The sequence below is a fragment of the Homo sapiens genome, chromosome 16, assembly GCF_000001405.40.
Source record: "Homo sapiens chromosome 16, GRCh38.p14 Primary Assembly".
NCBI lineage: Eukaryota > Metazoa > Chordata > Mammalia > Primates > Hominidae > Homo > Homo sapiens.
The window spans coordinates 14260405-14277027 of NC_000016.10; the positions used below are offsets into that span (position 1 = coordinate 14260405).

The 16623-nt window shown below is 39.6% G+C and overlaps 1 protein-coding gene across 31 annotated transcripts in view; it reads left to right on the forward strand.

The window, feature by feature from the left end:
* Window positions 1-6375, forward strand: part of MRTFB (myocardin related transcription factor B) — a 272006-nt gene extending 265631 nt beyond the window's left edge. For 26 of the 31 annotated variants that reach the window (XM_047434393.1, XM_047434392.1, XM_017023501.3 and 23 more), the window contains one exon: window positions 505-6375. In XM_047434393.1, the coding sequence (XP_047290349.1) occupies window positions 505-1040 (536 nt within the window). In that variant the 3' untranslated portion in view covers window positions 1041-6375. The remainder of the gene's footprint in view (window positions 1-504) is intronic. The other 5 variants (NM_001365412.2, NM_001308142.2, NM_001365411.2 and 2 more) reach the window with 1 other exon arrangement.
* The last annotated feature ends 10248 nt before the right edge of the window (window positions 6376-16623 follow it).

Genomic DNA, 16623 nt, shown 5'->3' on the forward strand with positions numbered 1-16623 from the left:
AGGATGTACTTCATGTCTCAGCACAAACTCAGGATGTACATTTCAACATTTATATTAGGAGTATCATGTTGCTATAGATAGATTCATAGGATGATATGAGCCCTATCTTAAAACTTTAATGACAAAATAACGACTCAAAGATAAAATAATCTAAAACCATTGATACCTATCTAGTGAGATATAACTGCTTTTAATGCTTAGTCTTACTGAGAAGAATTTAAAGCATATCAGAATGTAATAAACTGGTCTTGGACAGTCTGCTGACTAAATTTACAACAAAAAGGAATGTAATAAACTTTTATGTTTATCTATTTGACTAAAATGATCCATCATCCTAAAGGTTGTCAAGGATTGTACCTGACCAATAGCATTCTCTTCCTACTTCTAAGACGGACGTGCATAGAAGGAATCGCATAATAGCAATGTAACTGTCCTAGTAATTAATAAAAATTTTTAAGTAGTAGTAAATCTTCAGTTACTAATTACTTCATTTATTTTACACAGAGATCTCCCTCCCCATAAAAGAAGAACCTTCTCCTATTTCCAAAATGAGACCAGTGACAGCCAGCATCACCACAATGCCAGTGAATACAGTGGTGTCCCGGCCACCACCCCAAGTCCAAATGGCACCACCTGTATCTTTAGAACCTATGGGCAGTTTATCTGCCAGCTTAGAGAACCAACTAGAAGCTTTCTTGGATGGAACTTTACCCTCAGCCAATGAAATTCCTCCACTACAAAGCAGCAGTGAAGACAGAGAGCCCTTCTCTCTGATCGAGGACCTCCAGAATGATCTGCTGAGTCACTCAGGTATGCTGGACCATTCACACTCACCCATGGAGACTTCCGAGACCCAGTTTGCTGCAGGTACTCCCTGTCTGTCTCTCGACCTGTCAGACTCAAACTTGGACAACATGGAGTGGTTGGACATTACCATGCCCAACTCCTCTTCAGGACTCACTCCTCTCAGCACCACCGCGCCGAGCATGTTCTCTGCTGACTTTCTAGACCCACAGGACCTACCGCTGCCATGGGACTAACGTCACAGATTTCTTTTCTGAGAGTTGATGAGGTTTAAGAACATGAAGATTCTAAAAGGTCAGTTTTTAGAGATAGATCTATAGTTGCATTGTTGCAATCAAAATATGTTGTCACAGAAAGAATAGGTGGAAGGTCATAGCCTGGAACCCAAGTTTGAAAACATTTCATTGTGTTCAGTAGTGAATTTCTACAGTTTAACATAGCACAGGGCCTTCTGAAAATCGCACTTGTCAAAGACGACTCATCTATTTCTCCAGACTTCAGTAAAGAATGAAAAGTACCTTTAGATAAAAACAAAGAAGAGTAATATATGCAGCACAGTGACGTTAGGATTCTGGTAATTAACTACATTTAAATCTCTGGTCACTTTAAGACCCTAAATAAAAGGCAGACAGCTCCACTCAAAAACTAAGGCTGATGTGAGGGAGGTGAGAGGTCACTGCACTTGGTACTTCCTAGAGACGGCCGGAGCCAGGCCCAAGACACAGCAGAGGTCAAAGGCAGTGGAGAGCCTTGGCCAGTTCAGTGACAGCTTCTGGCTGAAGACTTTTGGTTCTATTCAGAAACCTGTGTCGTTTTTTTGGTGTTGTAGTTTATTTTGTGATTTTTTGGAATCGTACTTTATATTTCCAAATTTAAATTTAAATGCAAGATCTTTCAACATAAACAGAAGATACCTACAAAATACTGTCAGAAGTCCAGGTATACTGATAACACTGAAAATTCTATTAGCAACCTTCTGGGTTGGTTAGATTGATTTTAATGTATATATTAGACATTTGTATGTATGCTCTGACATTGTGATTTGTACAGCCTACGCTGGGGTAAGGAAATGGGTATCCAAGGTCCTACTTTTTTAATAGCTCGAATATTTCTAGAGTACTTGAGCCACATGTATTTCTGTATTTAAAGAATTGCTGACTAACTTTCAGGTAACCAGACCCATCTCAAAGAACCAAGAAAAGGCTTTAGCATGAAATATCTTTCTGAGCTGGCGAGTTAGAAGAATGGAAGGTAAGGGGAAGGTCTGTCATCTACCCAGGACATTCCCATGATGAGTACAGGTCAGATTGTGCCACAAGGTGGGCCTCCACGTCCCTGCCCTGGCCCTCTTTCTTCTGTCACTAACCCTGGTTATCATTTTACAGGCTTGTAACTGGATATTCTACCAGAGCTCTCACTATATTGTCAAGCCTAAGATTGAAAAACTGGAGGCTTTATTAGTGTTTTTATATAGAAAACAGTTATTACATATGTGTTAAGTCATTTCTTAAGAATTTTCTAAAATGCCAACTATCACAGGATTATTTCAAGCTAGTCATTGAGGTATATGACAAAATGTAAATAACAAAAAACTGAAATCTACCAAAAGAGCATGGAGATTTTTCTTAAATAATAATATTGTGCTCTCCACCTCACCCTTGTGTAAACCCTCAGGTCAGGTTGGTTCCCCTGGGTCACAAAATGGTAAATGTTCCATACTGACATGCCGGAGGCAGCCTGACCCGTTATTTGGAAAGAATTTGTGAATTATTTCTGGGTTTGTGTTTTGCCTAAGAGCTGATCTTATTTCTGATTTGTGTGTGTGTGGTTTATAAATTTTACTACGTGTAACAAAAGTCTGCTTTTCCAGCATGAGCACACTGGAGCCCTCTGCTCACTGGCACTTCCTGACTCAAAGGCACTAACAGTGCTCATGTGCCTTCCAGACGGTTCAAGGCAGAGGCCACTGTGCTCAGTGTAGTCTGTGATGAATAGTTTAAGTGTTCAGAAATTGGTAAACCAACACACGGGATACAATAACTCTCTGTTAACCAGAACACCGTCATTTGACCAAGCCCTACAAGAGTTTACCACACTAGATGTTCTGTGAATCCTCGAGTCAGTTCCATTGAGAGGGGCCTGTCTCCAGGGCCAGGCTATTTACTTGGGAAAGTATTTTTCTTACAGTTCTTGGCCACAGTTTTTTTGCTGAGGGTTTCTGTCTGGGCCTATCAGGTCCATACTTAGACCCTGAGCATCTTCTTCATTCAGATTTGAATGGCTTATTAAATTAGCACCAAATATCAGTGGGACTGTAGAAGGTAACCGAACACTAGTACCATTGACTCTCGTTGAATAACTTTATATTTCCATAATCCTGAATTGTGTAGATAGTTTTCTAGCTCTCGGGTCCCTTTATTGCTTTTTAAAATAGGGTTTGAAACATGCCACAGGAAGGTTGCTCTCCAAAAATACACAGTGCAGTGCAAGAAAATGCTATCTCATTGGCCTACTCTCCTATGAATTGCTAAAGTGCCCACTTCACATATGTGTTTAAACCTTTATAAACCAGTATTTCACTTTTAAAAAGACAAGGCATCTCTACCCATTAACTCTGCAAGCCACTCCACTTGCACCATTCCGCTTGACCCTCCTCTCTCCTGGCTTGGGTCACCAGCCAGGCACCTGTGACACGAGTGCTGCTCTCCAGGATCTCCACTACATGTTCCAGGTTGGAGTGAGGACGCGCTATGTGCTCACACTCATGTGACATGACCAAAGATGATACTCTGTAAACAAGGCCCTTCTGACCGGACTCAGTGCGTGTGATGGTGAGTGCAATGAGGAAGGGTGGATATTGACTAAAGACTGGTTGTTGTTGTTGTTTAGGTTAGTGTCACAGCCATTACAGCACAAGTCAAAGTCGCCAGTTGAATTTTCATTATGCACGTGTGTGGTTTAAGCAGTGGTACTGTTGTATATCATATTGTAAAGTATCATACTGCCAAGAAAATAACTCCTAGAAAGGCATTATCTCACATCCCCATCTTACTTTCCTACATGTTCTCAAAACACAGTAGTACCAGCCTTACCTTTCTGCTGTATGTAGATAGTCAGATCATCCTACTGGGGGTGGGATGAATTTAAAAGTTATACCAAAATTTCTGTAAAGTCTTTGAAAGTCTAGGAGTAGGTGGTCATCTTGTACATTTCAGCAAAGCATCCACTAGGAAACCTCATAGGACAGTGTTAGTGGTTCACGTTCTAGTGTTTTTCCTGAAATGTGCAATCTACTGTATAGTATTGCCACATAATTGTACATAGATGTATTCTGAATTTGTGGAATTTCTTGCTTAGATACTATTGTGTTTGTTTCATATGAATATTTTTGTAATTCTAAAAGAGATCTTATTTAAATTTCCTTTTTAAAAGCCGCATGGTTCTGTGATCCATGTAACTGACACTTTTTGGCTTTCAGTGCTGTTTAGAAACAGTGGCAAAGGCAGGGTGGTGCTGCCTGCAAGCTGCTGCCTATGGAAGGCAAAGTCATAGTAATGAGATAGCACCTCTGAACTGTGCAGTCAGCATACCCTGAGTGATGGCTCAGGGGCGCACTACCTATTTTGTCACCAGAGCTGACTCAGGCTTCCTGGACCCTCAACCCCAGATCATTCCAGGCAGCATAGCTTTCTTCACAGTCCTTTCAGAATTCCCAGGCTGAAATCAGCCATAGCAGTTGACAAAACAGCTATCCCCACAAGTGATGAGATAGTCCCTTTACTGTCCTCAAATGGACTTGGCCTTAGAGACGTGGTAAAGCACTTTGGCAGGGTTTAAAATATTTGTGAGAAGCCCACATTTCAGTATACATCCTCACTGGCTTCCATGCACCCACCTGACGGTAGCCTCACAGAAGTCCTGGCTGTCACTCAGGTGGGGAGCTCATGGTGCCGCTGGGGACTTTTTAGAGAAATGTAAAGAGAATAGCTATTCAGTGTCTACTAGCAGAGCAACATGTGTCAATTTAACCAAATTCACAAATAACCCTCCATTTTTCAATATCTGCTACTGTAAACATGAATATTGAATACTGACAAGAGAATACCCATACAAATCGTCCCACCGCCCTAGAGGCCACAGAATTAGCCCAAAATTATCAAAGAACATTAACTGGAAGGTCAGGTTTTTCAAGGAACATAGCTTACAAATGCATCAGTGTGTATCTGGAGAGCATCCTAACTGCATTTCAACTCATCTTTTAAGTGATTTCAGTCAAAACTGGAAAACAACTAAGATGTAGTAATTTTTTTTTCCTGGTTCAAACCTTCAATAACTTGCTCATTCAGCAGTCTCTCTGAGCTACATTTTTATTTGTAAAGTGACTCTGTCTGCATGGCAATGAGCAGGTGCGTGTTTTTTCCACATTCGCCCTTTCTTGCAGTATCCAGGGAAACACATCATTACAAAGGGTTTCTACCTGAAATCTTTCATGGAAGGCCTACAATTCGAAAAGCTGCACATGTTTACAGAAGAGCTCTTACCCTCCATGCAAACACTTTGCTCTGTGGTGTCACAGCTTTGTGACAATAAGATGGCAATCTCGGATCTACAAGGTGCTGTCGGGAATCAAATAAAATATGTTATCAGAGATATCATCACATCTATAGTGTTTAACAGAGCTTTATGCCAACTACTAAGACAAAGCTTTAACAAAGTTTATAGAATACTGAAACTCGTAACAATTACCTCTCTACGTGATGCTGTAAGGAATCTTGCTAATTTGGTAGGAAGAGGAAGCATTTAGGAAAGGGTTTAGTATCTACCAAAAGTACTTGACCTCAAGTAACCAATAGTAATGCAAACTTGCTTTAAAGGAACCAAAGGCATTGCCAAGTATTTGCCAAAAGGAGGCACTTTTTATTTAAAATTTGAGACTAATGAGATCTCAAAAATCAGCCCCAAAAAGGTATTATCCATTTAAGGTTATAATTTTCACTAAGATGTAGATATTTCTCTTATTGTTTTCATGTAAAATAGTATAGAGTTGTTTTGTTGGTTTAAGAGTAACATTCAGTAGTAATACAAAGTTTTTTTTCTATGTAGAAATTAGTTTTCTTTTCTTGCTTGCAATAGAAATGCAATGTGATAGGTGTTTCTCTTCTTATTTTCATTGTCACATTATGTCTTAGCATCTCACTTTATGAAAAAAAGGAGAAAGATACCAATCTACAGAGCCCTGCTTGTTGAAGCACTAGTTTAATCAACAAAAAATTATGGCAATCGGGGGTCCATTCATCTATTGCCTTTATGTTGTTTTTTAAAAGAAAAACCATGATGCCTTTGTATTTGCTGTTTGCACCCCTGAAATCAATTCCATATCATGTTTGAATGCCATACATTTTGCACATGTACTGTACATAAGTAATGCATACTGTATTTTTATATGTGTGCACATTTATCATCAGATCTTTTGTACATAGTGGCAGTATTGTAGCTGATCGGGAAATGTTTGATATCTCAGCAATTTTGCATTTTTGTGTCTCAAATAAAAGACATTTTGATGTACTATGATTCTTGCTGTGCAGAGGAAAGACCACTCCCTATGGGTTGGTGGAGCCATTGTAGACTGTGGAACGGGAGTGGATTTATTAGGAGGAGACACTATACCTTTAGCATACAACTCACAACAGAAAGCCAGCAGGCCAAGCCTGTGAACTTGTCACCCTCCCCTGGATCCAAGACCATGAGATACAAAATAGAAACTCACAGGTACGAGCTGAACTTGAATATGTCAAGATTTACACAAAGTGAGTTTCTTTCTTCCACAATGAAAGTTAGAAATATGTAGTTCTCCCTAGGGGGTTGATTTTCACACTCGGCGCGCACACACGCACAATGAAAACTGACTCAATAACATCAATGCACCACCACCACAATTCCTGAAAGACCCACATAATCCTTCAATCTAGCCAAGTTTCAAAAGCAACTATTTATATGAGGTATTTTTATAGACTGTACAAAATGGTCTTTAGAATTCAGTATGCTTTTAGTAAGATGGCATTTCATTTCAACTCAGAAGCCAACATTTAAAACAGAGTTTGGTTAAAATTTTTTTTCTCTTTGCTTTGAAGAAACAAAATAGTAATGAGTAAACTCTAATAACTATACCATATATCAATATTTGATTAAGAAAAAAGGCCCGAGTATCAACCACAGAAAAGGGGAAAAGAAAGATATTGATTACCAAAACACAGCAAAATGTTCATTACACTTAGGGAACCAGAGTGCAGCCTCAACAGACCAGTGAGATGATGCGCAAAGGGTTAAACCATTCATAAAGTATCATATGTTCCAGGCAGAGATCCTGCCCTTGGGGAGAAAATAGACCTCCCTGCTGGTCTGAGAGAAAACTTTGCCAAAGGAAGCATTGCACGTGCCCTGGGAGCCCAAGAGGAGTGAGCAAGGGATGTCACAGGAAACTCTGGGGAAGCTGTCATGGCAGACAGCCCCTTGGGCAAGGTCAGAATTAATTGGAGAAATTGTTTTTTCCTGCAACAGATTTTTTTTTATTTATTAGTTTTGTTGTTTTTTGAGACAGAGTCTCACTCAGTCACCGAGGCTGGAGTGTGGTGGCACAATCTCGGCTCACTGCAACCCTCTGCTGCCTGGGTTCAAGTGATTCTCCTGCCTCAGCCTCAGCCTCCCAAGTAGCTGGGACTACAGGCACGTGCCACCATGCCTGGCCAATTTTTATATTTTTTTAGTAGCTTTGGGGTTTCACCATGTTAGCCAGGCTGGTCTCGAACTCCTGACCTCAGGTGATCCACCCACCTCAGCCTCTCAAAGCACAGGGATCACAGGTGTGAGCCACTGCACCTGGCCAAGTATTACTTCTAATTTAACTTTCAGAAAGAAGTCTCATATTGATGTCCTGTCTTTTCTGTTAATATGCATGACAGGCTAATTAAATTAAACCTATGTTGTGTGATGAGATGAGAAACAAGGGTCCTCATCAACATTTTCTGTGCCCTTTCGTTGGATGCGATTGCGTCACAGATCATTCCACGGGGAAATCCGTGAATGATGGCCCTGTGGGTGCTCACTCTGCAGCGTCCTCCTGCTTGCCATTGGACGTACAACAGACTTGTCAGAAGCATCCAAACCCCAAATTATTTCAATGCTAATACTGTCCAAGCCAAAGCTGAAGTTTGATTAATGGTGAAAAAGGGCTTTTAGTCAGGTTAATTGTTAAGAATTAAAGTGTTTCCCATCCAAGATTCAAATAAAGACCTTTGAGGCCGGGTGCAGTGGCTCACACCTGTAATCCCAGCACTTTGGGAGGCCAAGGCGGGTGGGTCACCTGAGGTCAGTAGTTCAAGACTAGACTGAACAACATGGTGAAACTCCATCTCTACTAAACACACACACAAAAAAACTAGCCAGGCATGGTGGTGCATGCCTGTAGTCCCAGCTACTTGGTAGGCTGAGGCAGGAAAATCCCTTGAACCTAGGAGGTGGAGGTTGCAGTGAGCCGAGATCACGCCATTGCAATCCAGCCTGGGCAACAAGAGTGAAACTCCATCTCAAAAAAAAAAAAAAAAAGGAAGGCAAATGACTTGCCTGAAATCACAAAGGAAACAGCACAGATTTGAGACCAAGCTTCTGAAACCCCAGAACCCAAACCATCTGTCTTAGTCTGTTCAGGGAGCTATAATAAAATACCTCAGACTGGACAATTTACAAACAGCTGAAACATAGTGGTCACAGTTCTAGAGACTGGAAGATCCAACATCAAGGTTCCAGCAGATTCAGTGTCTGGTGAGGTCCAGGTCTCTGCTTGGAAGATGGTGCCTTTTTGCTGCATCCTCACAAAGAGGAAGGGACAGAAAGGCCAAAACACACACACACAACACACACAAACAGGCTGCCTTTTATAAGGGCACTAAATCCCATTCATGAGAGCAGAGCCCTCATCACTTAATCACCTCCTAAAGGTCCAAACTTCTAATACATTGCATGGGGATTAAGATTCAACATGAATTTTAGAGACACAAACATTCAAACCATAGCACCATTCCTGTAGACTCTATATACAACTCTCTGCCTTTGTCCAGATACTTTGTGAATACAATTGAGTACAGCTTAATTCATGTCTATCATGAGGTTCCACTAACTGTCTTGATTAGACCTCCTCAGTCTCTCACATTTTCTAAAGTACCTGCTCACAAATGTTTAATGGCATCCAATGTATGGCTTTTTACTAGATTAAAGCCAGCCAGAACATGGAGTCCAAGACTGGAGCGTTTTAAGTGAACTCTACTGACTGGGCCATGCAAAATGACTTGTTATTAAACACTATCTTGCTGGGGCTTCTGTAACCATTTGAACACATACCAAAGCTCAAGAGCAGTAAGATTTTTAAATACCTAGCAAGGTTGAAGACACACAAACTCTGTGATCCAGCAAATCAATTTTTTGTACACATCCTTGAGAAACACAGACGTACACAGGAAATCACGTGTAAGAATGAACACTAAAGCATTTACAAAGCAAAAATTGCAAGCAACTCCTATGCCTTTCAATTAGAGAACCATTAAACACTGCAATTTACAGGAATGAACTAAATCTAATGTGCCAATGTAAAAGAATCTTGAAACAAAATGCTGAGGGGGAAAAAAGTGCAGAATAAAGCCTGCATAATTCAAGTAACATTTTAAAACAAGGCTGTGTGTTTTATAAAGTATAAAAACATGGGTGGTAAGGACTCAGGTCAGTTTCAAGATTCAGAATATTTCTGGAAAGAAAAAACTAGATTGGGGAACATCTGAAAGGAGGCTTTAACTTTCTAATATTTAATAATTCTATAGCCAATATAGCAAAATACTAATTGTTAACTAGTTGATTTTAACTATCCCTATTTTTTGTGAGTTGGAAATATTTTATGGTAAAAAAGATTAGTAAGAACGATATTTCTGATGTATATAGAAACTAAAGTCCTAAATAAAATACTGGCAAATGAAATCCAGTAATATGCAAAAACTGTTATATAGCATGACCAAGTGGGGTTTATTCCTGGAATGCAAAGTTGGTTTAACCTCTGAAAATCCATTAATGCAAAACACCCTATCCATAGAATAAAGTACAAAAACTACATGATTATCCCAATACACACAGAAAAAGCACTTGACAAAATTCAACACCCCTTCACAATAAAAATGCAATGAACTAGAAATAGAAAGGAACTTTCTCACGTTATAAAGGTCATTTACACAAAACCCACAACTATCATTATACATAGTGGTGAAAGACTGAATGCTTGTCTCCAGTGCTCAGGAAAAAACGGATGTCCACTCTTAGAACTTCTGTTCAACATTGTACTAGAGTTTCTACCCAGGACAATTATACAAGAAAAAGAAATAAAAGGCATCCAGATTGGAAAGGAAGAAATAAAACAATCTCTATTTGTAGATGGCATGATCTTGCCTATAGAGAATCCTAAAGAATTTCCTAAAAATTGATTAGAATAAAATGAATTCATCAAGGTCACAGGATACAAAACTCAATTGCAATTCTGTACAGTAGCAATGAATAAACCACAGATGAAATTAAGAAAACAATGCCATTTATAATAGCATCACAAGCAATACTTAGGAATAAATTTAACAAAAGAAGTATAAGACATACTCTGGGCCGGGCGTGGTGGCTCACACCTGTAATCCCAGCACTTTGGGAGGCCGAGGCAGGCAGATCATGAGGTCAGAAGATCGAGACCATCCTGGCTAACACGGTGAAACCCCATGTCTATTAAAAATACAAAAAAATAGCTGGGCGTGGTGGCAGGCGCCTGTAGTCCCAGCTACTCGGGAGGCTGAGGCAGGAGAATGGCGTGAACCCAGGAGGCAGAGCTTGCAGTGAGCCGAGATTGTACCACTGCACTCCAGCCTGGGCGACAGAGCGAGACTCCATCTCAAAAAAAAAAAAAAAAGACATACTCTGAAAACTTATACTCTGAAAATATTTCTCAAAGACAAATAAATGGAAAGACATCCACGTTCATGGATCTGAAGACTTAATATTGTTAACATGTTAATATTCCCCAAAACTGATCTACAGATTGGACATACTCCCTATCAAAATCTTAGCTGGGTTTTTGCTAGAATGGACAAGCTAATCCTAAAATTCATATGAAATTCAAGGGACCTGGAATATCCAAAATCTTGAAAAAAGAACAAAGTTGGAGGACCCACACATCTCAATTTAAAAACTTACAGCAAAGCTACAATATTCAAAGTGTAGTACTGGCATAAGAATAGACATAAAGATCAATAGGATAGCACTAAGTATACAGAAATAAATTCTCATATTATGGTCAATTGATTTTTCACACACACGAAAAAAAGCCAAAATAATTCAGTGGGGGAAGGAACTGGCTTTTCAACAAACAGTGCTGAGACAACTGGATATCCACATGCAAAAGAATGAATTTGGACTCCCTACCTCATACCATATAAAAATTTAAAATAGATCAAACTAAAAGAAGTAAAACAATAAAACTTGTAGAAGACAACAGAAAATCTGTGTTACCTTGGGTTAGGCAAAACCTTCTTAAATATGACAACAAAAGCATAAGCAATAAAAGAAAAAATAGACTAGTTAGATATCACCAAGGCTAAAAACTTCTGTGCTCCAAATAATACTGCCCAGAAAATTCAATACAACCCACAAAATAGGAGAAAAATTGTGCAAATCATGTATCTGATAAAAGACTTGTATTTGAAATATGTATAAAAGACTATTACAACTCAATAATAAAAAGATAAACAATTTTTAAATGGGTAAAGAATCTGAAGTCACTTCTCCAAAGAAGAGACACAAATGGCCAATACGTGCATGAAAAGATGCTTGACCTCAGACAAATACAAATCAAAACCACGAGATACCACTTGACAGATGCTAGGATGGCCATAATCTAAAAAGGTAGATAATAACAAGCATCAACAAGGATGTGGAGAAACAAACCCATATACACTGCTGGTGGTAGTGTGAAATAGTGTGACTGTTTTGGAAAACCATTTAGCAGTTCTTCAAAAAAGTTTAAAAATAGAGTTGCCACATAACCCAGCAATTCCGCTCCCAGGCATACAACCCAAGAGAATGAAAAACACATGTCCACACAAAAACTTGTACCTGAATGTTTACCACACCATTATTCATAATAGCCAAAAAGTAGAAACAACCCAGATGTCCATCAACTCATGAATGGATAAAATGTGGTATATTCATATAATGGATTATTTGGCAAAAAAAAAAGAAAAATGAACTGACTCATGCTACAACAAGGATGAACCTTTAAAACATTATGCTAAGTAGGCTGGGCACAGTGGCTCTCACACCTGTAATCCCAGCCCTTTGGGAAGCCAAGGCAGGTGGATCACTTGAGATCAAGAGTTCGAGATCAGCCTGGCCAACATGGTGAAATCTCGTCTCTACTAAAAGTACAAAAATTAGCCAGGCGTGGTGATGCCCACCTGTAATCCCAACTACTCGGGAGGCTGAGGCAGGAGAATCACTTGAACCAGGGAGGTGGAGGCTGCAGTGAGCCAAGATTACACCACTGCACTCCAGCCTGGGTGACAAAGTGAGACTCCATCTCAAAACAAATCCAATTTTCTTAGTAAACATCCATTTATTTTAAGCACATTTATTGTGAGAGTGATTTTTTTGTGCCTTCAAATCTAGTCTTCTGGTTATTTACTGATGCATAATAAAGCACTCTAAAACTTAGTACCTCCAAACAATGACACAGAAGACTTCTGCTTTCAAGCAAAATGGAGTAACAGGGGCCAGACTTGACTTCCTACCTGAAACCACCAAGATGGACAAAATATATGAAACCCTTTGGAAAATGCTAGATATCAAATAACAAAAGAGTTATCTCTAAGGGACAGGAAACAAGGTGAACTCTACTGTTGCCCAGGGAAGTCAGGTAGAGCCAGTGGATTCCTAAGTTGGCAGCCAGGGCAATGAATCCAGGAGGCCAAGACAGCTTGAGTTTGTAGCACATAATACTAGAGAAGAGAGCTACATTGAGAAAACTCTGGAAATCTACAGAGGGTCTCCTTTAGTATTCAGCAGAGCACTGACAGGTATATGGGTGTAAACACACTACACATGGCCTGGGAAAGAACAACCCCCAAAATTACAGGTAACAGCTCCCAGTACTCATACAGTGCTGGGAATAGTGCCTGTTGCCACCAGCCAAGCTGAAAACTCATAATGCAAGGGACATTAGAAGTATTCAAGAAAATCCTTCCCCAGCATTGAGGATTATAGACTAATCTCTGCTCCAGATCCATCTAACAAATACAAGCAAAAAATATGACATATTTAATAAGATTAATTAATTAATTATAACCAACCAGGAAGTTGTTTTAAAAAAGAATTATTAAAGGCAGAAGTTGTTTAGAAAAAAAAAAACTGACAGAAATGTCAGTTTGCAGACAAGGACATTAAAACCATTATAACTGAATTCCATATGATCAAAAAGTTAAGTAGAAACAAAAACATAGGAGTTTTTTAATACATTGAACGTCAGATGAAAACTACAATGTCTGGAGATGAAAAATGCACTGACTGAGAATAATGGAAAATGATACATTACAGAAAAAATATGTCTCTGGTGAGAGACATATGGTGACAGAGTAGGCTGTAGCGTATTCTATCAGTAATTTGAGTCCCTTGAGTGGAGAGACAGAAAGACATTTGCAGAATATTAGATCAATATACAAAAGTCAATTGTATTTTTATCTACTAGCAATTAATCAGGAATTGAGATTTTTTAAATAGTGCCATTTATAATAGCATCAAAAATATGAAATATATGGGATAGATCTGACAAAAGATATGAAAGGTCTGTATACTAAAAACTACAAAACACTTTACAGAGAAATTGAAAACCTAAGTAAATAAAGAGATATATAATGTCCAGGCATTGGAAAACTCAATATTGCCAATATGTCAATTCTCCCCAAATTGATCTACAGATTTAACGCAGTTGCAATCGAAATGCCAACATGTTTTTTGTAGAAATTGTCACCAGATACTAAAATTCATATGAAAATGATAAAGAAATAGAATAGTCAAAAAGAGGAACAGGCCAGGCGCCGTGGCTCATATCTGTAATCCCAACACTTTTCAGAGGCCAAGGCAGGCAGATCATGAGGTCAGGAGATCGAGACCATCCTGGCCAACATGGCGAAACCCTGTCTCTACTAAAAATACAAAACAATTAGCTGGGTGTGGTGATGCACAGCTGTAATCCCAGCTACTCGGGAGGCTGAGGCAGAAGAATCCCTTGAACCCGGGAGGCGGAGAATGCAGTGAGCCAAGATCGCACTACTGCACTCCAGCCTGGCGACAGTGAGACTCAAAACAAAAAAAACAAAAAAAAAAGGAGGAACAAAGAATTGGAAGACTAATGCTACCTCATTTCAAGACTTAAGCTACATCGGCCAGGCACGGTGGCTCATGCCTGTAATCCCAGCACTTTGGGAGGCTGAGGCAGGAGGATCACTTGAGGTCAGGAGTTCAAAACCAGCCTGGCCAACATGGTGAAACCCCATCTCTACTAAAAATACAAAACAGCTGGGCATGGTGGCACACGTTTCTAATCCCAGCTACTTGGGAGGCTGAGGCAGGAGAACTGCTTGAAGCCAGGAGGTGGAGGTTGCAGTGAGCCGAGATCACACCACTGCACTCTAGCCTAGCCAACACAGCAAAACTCCGTCTCAGGAAAAAAAAAAAAAAAAAGACAAGCTACATTAAGACAGTAAAGATAGACAAATAGATCAATAGGACAAAATGGAGTCAAGAAAGAGACCCAGGCATATATGGACAACTTATTTTCAACAAAGGTGCAAAGGCAATTCAGTGGAGGAAGTATGGTCTATTCAACAAAAGATACTGAAACAAATGGATATCTATATCCAAAAAGGTGGACTTCAATCCATAACTCATCATATACAAAATTTACTCTGAGTGAGTCATAGACCTAAAATCTAAAACTATAAAATTTGTAGAGGAAAAACATTTGTGACTTTGAGTTAGAGATTTCTTAGCTATAACAAAAAAAGAATGATCCATAAAAGAAAAAGTTAATAATTTGATTTAATCAAAATTTAAAACTTTTGCTCCTTAAAGGACAGTGTTAAAAGATTAAAAAGAGCCACAGACTGGGACAAAATACTTGGAAATCATATCTGATAAAGGATTTATATTCAGAATATATCAAGAATCTCACTGGTCTGAGTGCAATTTACAACCAATTGATCACAACCAGTTATACATTTCTTTGTTCTTCTCCATTTTCACTGCTTCACTTGGCTAACCTTAAAAACAAAAAACAACAAAATTCCACATTTTAATAATTTAAAATCCCAATAAAAAATGCATGGAACAGAAACTTCACCAAAGACAACAAATGAATGCCAAATAAACAAACACATGAAAAAATGCTTAACATCTTAGTACTAGAGAAACACAAATTGGCCAGGCACAGTGGCTCACACCTGTAATCCCAGCACTTTGGGAGGCCTAAGTGGGCAGATCACCTGAGTTCAGGAGTTCAAGACCAGCCTAGCCAACATGGTGAAACCCACTCTCTACTAAAAATACAAAAATTAGCCAGGGGCGCCAGTGGGCACCTGTAATCCCAGCTTCTCAGGAGACTGAGGCAAGAGAAACACTTCAACCCAGGAGGCAGAGGTTGCAGTGAACTGAGATCATGCCACTGCACTCCAGCCTGTGCAACAGAGTGAGACTCCGTCTCAAAAAAAATAGAGAAATGCAAATTAAAATCACAATGCAATACCATTACACGCCTATTAGAATGACCAAAAAGACTGACCACACCAAGTGTTGGCGAGGATATGGGGGAACTGAACTCTCCTCCACTGTTGGTGGAAATGTAAAATGGTGCAGCCACTTGGGGAAACAGTTTGTCAGTTTCTTAAAAAGATAAACATATGACCCATGGATTCTACTCCTGTGTATGTATCTAAAAGCAATGAACACATATGTCTGTTCAAAGGTTTATACACAAATGTTCACAGTAGTTTTGTTTGTAATAGCCAAAAACCAGAAACAACTCAAATGTCCATACCACTCAACAACAACAAGGAATGAATTCTTGGTACACAATAATGTACAATACAGGTAAGTCTCAGTTATGCCGAGGGAAAGAAGCCAGGAAAAAAGAGCACGTACTGTTTGATTCCATTTACATACAATTCCAGGATGTGGGCCAAGTACGGTGGCTCACGCCTGTAATCCCAGCACTTTCAGAGGCCAAGGTGGGCAGATCACCTGATGTCAGGAGTTTGAGAAAGCCTGACCAACATGGTGAAACCCCATCTCTATTAAAAATACAAAAATTAGCCTGGCATGGTGGCTCATGCCCGTAATCTCAGCACCTTGGGAGGCCAAGGCAGGTGGATTACTTGAGGTCAGGAGTTTAAGACCACCCTGGCTAACATGGCAAAATCCCATCTGTACTACAAATATAAAAATTAGTGGGGACCCTGTAATCCCAGCTGCTCAGGAGGCTGAGGCAGGAGAATCACTTGAACCCAGGAGGCAGAGGTTGCAGCAAGCTGAGATCTTGCAGCAAGCTGAGATCTTGCAGCAAGCTGAGATCTTGCAGCAAGCTGAGATCTTGCAGCAAGCTGAGATCTTGCCACTGTACTCCAGCCTGGGTGACAGAGCAAGACTCCGTCCCAAAAAAAATCAAAATTAGTTTGTTAGTGCAAACTAACATATGGT